We start from the raw sequence: 5119 nt of genomic DNA on the forward strand, positions 1-5119 counted from the left end.
CAGCCTCAACCTCCTGGGTTCAAATGATTCTCCTGCCTCAGCCTCCCAAGTAGCTGGGACCACCACTCCCAGCTAATTTTTTTATTCTTTGTAGAGATGGGGTTGCAATGTTTCCCAGGCTGGTCTCGAACTCCTGGGCTCCTAAGAATTTTAACATTTGAGTTTTCTTCCAACAAAGAGGTGGAGGAAAATATAACTTTATATAAACATGTATAAACCCTGCTTCCCACTTTAATTAAGCCATAAATTCCTGCGGCAGCTAGGGATGTGAAGAGGCAAGTGAGAAGAGGAAATGTGCATAAGACTCCCAGCAGCTTGGAAGTAAACAGGGAGGACTGAAGTGACCCTGTTGCTCCGAAGGTGGCTGTTCATTAGCCTCCTTCTGTCCTTAGACCCAGCTGGAGCATTGCATGCACTGGCTCCCAGGTTGCAGGGGATGTCAGCAGCTCCAGCTCATCCGATTGAAGGAGGCCATGTGGCTTTCCCTGGACTTTCTGCTTGAACAGTGAATCCCTGTAGGGCCTGGATCCATTGCCCTCTTCTCCTCCCACCCCACCCAAGCACTCTTCTTCATGAGTTTGCTTTCTCCTATCTTTTTTTCCTCCACTTTTCCTTCAAAAATTGTTGATTAAGCACCTGCCATGGGCCAGACATTTTTCTAGAGTAACACCTCAATGAGCAGACAGGTTCTTGTTCTCATAGATCTTCCATTTTAGAGAGAAAGCTGAACGATAAACAAATAATACAGCAGGTGGTGAGGGGTGTTATAAAGAAGGATGAGCAGGGTAAGTGGGTGAGAAAATGTGCTACTTTGTCCTCTAGAGGCCAGGGAAAGCCTCTCTGTTTAGGTGATATTTGACAGAGATTTGAAGGCACTGAAGGAGTGAGCCATTTGGATCTCTAGGGAAAGAGCATTCTTCCCCAGACAGAGAACAGCAAGTGCAAAGGCCATGATGAAGAAGGGAGCTTGGCCAGAGTGAGGGACACAAACGGCAGCCTACGGTGCATGCACATCTTAAGAGATGAGGTTCCTGGTGCCCTTTGACTGCCTCAGAGATCCCGTGCTCACAACACACAGCACCAATCATCCTAAAATACATCTATGCTATAGAAACTTGTCCCAAAATATCCTTTCATAATGATTTACCTTCTGGTATCCCACCCATGAAAGCAGAAATTTCCTGCTTTCTCCTAATAATTACTAATAATTCTCCTAATAATTACTAATCTGTCTCCTCCCCCAAAATGTAAGGCCAAGAAGAGCATGGACTTGGCCTATTCATTCACTGCTCTATGTTCGGCTCCTATTTCAGTGCTAAAAACCAAGTGGGCCCTCAATAAATATTTTTGTGAATTTATTTATTTATTTATTTTATTTTTTGAGACGGAATCTCTCTCTTCCGCCCAGGCTGGAGTGCAGTGGTGCGATCTTGGCTCGCTGCAACCTCCGTCTCCTGGGTTCAAGGGATTTCTGGCTAATTTTTGTATTTTTAGTAGAAACAGGGTTTCACCATGTTGGCCAGGCTGGTCTCGAACTCCTGACCTCAAATGATCCATCCACCTTGGCCTCCCAAAATGCGGGGATTACAGGCGTGAGCCACCGCACTTGGCCAGCCCTCAATAAATGTTTATTTTCTAGATGAAATGGGGAATCTAACTAAGCTACATGGTAATGAGGCAGCTGACTTTCTTGGAAGCAGAAGACCTAATTCTAGATGTGGTGACATAAAAGCAATAAAGGAAGGACCTCTATAAATCACTCATGGAGCTGAGCCTCAGCTCTCAAAATGTTGGATTAGAACTAGGGATGGCAAAATCCTGTTACAGGCACAACAACTCACCCCCTCCCTTCCATGCCCACTAGACTCTCTAATGAAGCGTGGCTGTCTCTCTCTGGAAAAAACTATGGAATTCTTCCCACCCAATGCTCCTAGCAGCCACAACCAAAGGGTCAGAGGTGACCCTTACAATGAACCCAATTTGCCATCCCTCAATTAGATGTTTAAGATTCCTTTCCACTTTAATATCCTGTGGTGCAAATCTAAGCAAGCCTGCTTGTTTGGCCACATGGAGGTACATGTTCCTGCAAAATCAACCCCAAGAAATCCTGTTGCTCACAGGTAAGCAGGTAACCCCTGCTTCCATAGCAGAGGCAGTCACTAGTAGTACTTGCTTCAATTGGGACAAATATTTTTCACCCGGAAACTAATTCAAGGCTACCTTTTTCAGACTCCTTTGAAGGCTGCTAGAATTGGTCCCTTGAGTAAGCTGAGTGTTGTGGTGCCCCTCAGTTCCCATGCCATAGAAGCTCGAACCTCATTCATTAATACACTAGCCCTAAGGCTTGAAACCAGTCTGGCCTGGCTTGGAGCCTTTAGATCACTCTCTAGCTTCTGGCCAATAAGAATGAGCTTCTAGGCCAGGCATGGCGGCTCACGCCTGTAATCCCAGCACTTTGGGAGGCCGAGGCAAGTGGATCACTTGCATCCAGGAGTTCAAGACCAGTCTAGGCAACATAGTGAAACCCCATCTCTACAAAAAAATACAAAAAATTAACCGGGCGTGGTGGCATGGGCCTGTAGTCTCAACTATTCAGGAGGCTGAAGTGGGAGGATCGCTTGTGTGGGGAGGTCAAGGCTGCAATAAGCTCTGATGACACCACTGTACTCCAGCCTGCATGACAGACTAAGGCTGGAGTGCAGTCTCAAAAAACAAAACAAAACAAAACAAAACAAAAAACCTGCAGCCTGCACCACTCCTACTGGTAGGCTTGCTCTGATATCAGCACTTCAAGCAGGTGATAACACTATGAGGTTTATTTTTAATTGCTAGGTGTGGTGGTTGTATTTCCTTAGAGTAAAAATGCACTTCCTTCCTCCCTTTGAAGTGAGATGTGGACCTGTGATTTGATCTGGCCAAGAAAGTGTGACCGAAAATGACCTGGACACTTCCAATGGGAGCTTTAAAAGCCAGTGCACGATTTATCACTTATCCTTTTTCTGCTTCAGTCATCGTAGAAGCCCAGGTCAGGATGGAACTCCCACCAGCCTGGATTGCTGATTAAGTATGCTCCATGTTAGAGCAAAAATATAAGTTGTTTTAAACCACAGAAATTTGGAGGTGGTTTCTTATTACAACATAACTAGTCTCTATTGACTGATACTCCATGGTGTAAGATTAGTCATGGGATTTTTCTAGCTCAGAGTTTCTCAATTTTGGTAGGATTGACGTTTGGGGTTAGTTATTGCTTTCTTGTGGGGACCATCCTGTGCATTGCAGGATGTTAAGTGGCCTCCCTAGCCTTTACCCACTAGACACCAGCAGCACCCCATCCCAAGTTGTGACCATCAAAAATCCCTCAACAGTATGATTCCACTTATTTGAGGTACCTAGAGTAGTCAAAATCATGGAGACAGAAAGTCAAATGATGGTTGTCAGGGGCTGGGAGAAGAGGGAAATGGCGAGTTAGTGTTAATGGGTACAGAGTTACAGTTTTGCAAAATGAAGAGAGTTCTATGGATGGATGGTGGTGATGGTTGCACATCAGTGTGAAGGTGCTTAGTGCCACTGAACTATACACATGAAAATGGTTCAAATGGCTAATTTTATGTTATGTGCTTTGCCACAATTTTTGAAAATGGAAAAAAAAATGTCTCCAGACATTGCCAATGTCCCCTGGAAAGCAAAATCACCCCTGGTTGAGAACTAGTGTTCTAGCGGTAGTGCAACACATTCAATTGTAAAATACGTGTAAAAACGTGGGCTTAGGGCTCAGCCCTGCTTTTTGCCATTGAGGGTTAGAATCTCATCTCTCCTAAAATATTTTTTATCCACTCAGATTTTAGGCCAGGATCAACAGGACAATTGAACGGTTTGATCTAGAAAAAGCCCCTGTCTATGGACCCAAAACTGGTGTGATATGAATACACTCTGTAAAAACTCTTACACTGTTTTAAGCTTTACATCTGATAAACAGAGCACAGTAGAGACTCCATTTGGGATAATTTTTCCTGAAACCTACTTGTTTTTCATGCTGTTTCTGCAGTTAAGGTGCCTGGTCTTAAAATGTGTTGAAGCAAAAGAATGGGAAGAGCCAAGGGACACATCAGGGAGTTTCCAAATGACAGAACTGCAAACCTGCAGGGCAGTCCTCTGCTGCGGAAGAGGGAGCTTACACTCTGAATGCATCTTGAGGAGTATTCTCCATACCTGAGGAATAAATTAAGGCTAACAAGGGGGCCTAAATGGTGATTGGCTCTGCTCTTGACCAATTGAATCCCATGCTCGGACTGAGGCAGCAGAGGGCTTCTTACACCCACCTCCACCACCATCACCCTGCCTAAGTCATCTCAGAGAATCCTCTTTCTATCTCAGTATTGGGCCTACATTCTTATGCTTCAGCCCTTTTCCATAATGACCCCTCCAGATTGCCACACTCTAGAACCACTACAGAGGGTGGCGTTACTGCTGTATGGACACTTCATCTCAAAGTGAGGGGCCAGCTCACATGATTTGCAGGGTTCCTTTCTCTGGCCTTCTAAAACATTCTCCAGGTTGAGGCTGAAACTGCTCCCCCAAAGCCCCATAATAGGCATGAACAGATTATCCTCCTCTTCTTGGTTCTCATGGCTAGAATCCTTAACTAATCCTCTCCCCACAAAGTAGGGTTGATTTCACAAGCTGTTATTTCAGCTGCTTGTTCTGCCATCTGCTCTTGATTTGCTTGGTGAACACCTCCAGCGTGCTTGGAGCTGCACTGTCACGCTTCGCCCCAATCAGCTTCTGGCCCCCCACACTCAAACACATCTGCATCGGCACACCCCTCCCACGCCCCAGTTCTGCCCACAATGGATCCATCCATCTGTGCTCCAGGCCCCAGCCCCTTGGGAGCTTGCGCTATCAATTACTTGCACTTAGTTCAGAATCTTTAGCCACTCCATGTCCATGGTTATTTCATTTATTCAATGTAGTAACATGTTTAAACCTCTCCCGTCCTGGAAAAAAAAAGTCCTACATTTAACCCTATCTCCCTCTTTAGCTTAAAGTCATCTGTAATCTTCCTTGCCATTTATTTACTCCATGTCCCAGGTTGAACAGTATCCACACACCCCCAAAAATT

Source organism: Homo sapiens, chromosome 9, assembly GCF_000001405.40.
Source record: "Homo sapiens chromosome 9, GRCh38.p14 Primary Assembly".
Lineage (NCBI taxonomy): Eukaryota > Metazoa > Chordata > Mammalia > Primates > Hominidae > Homo > Homo sapiens.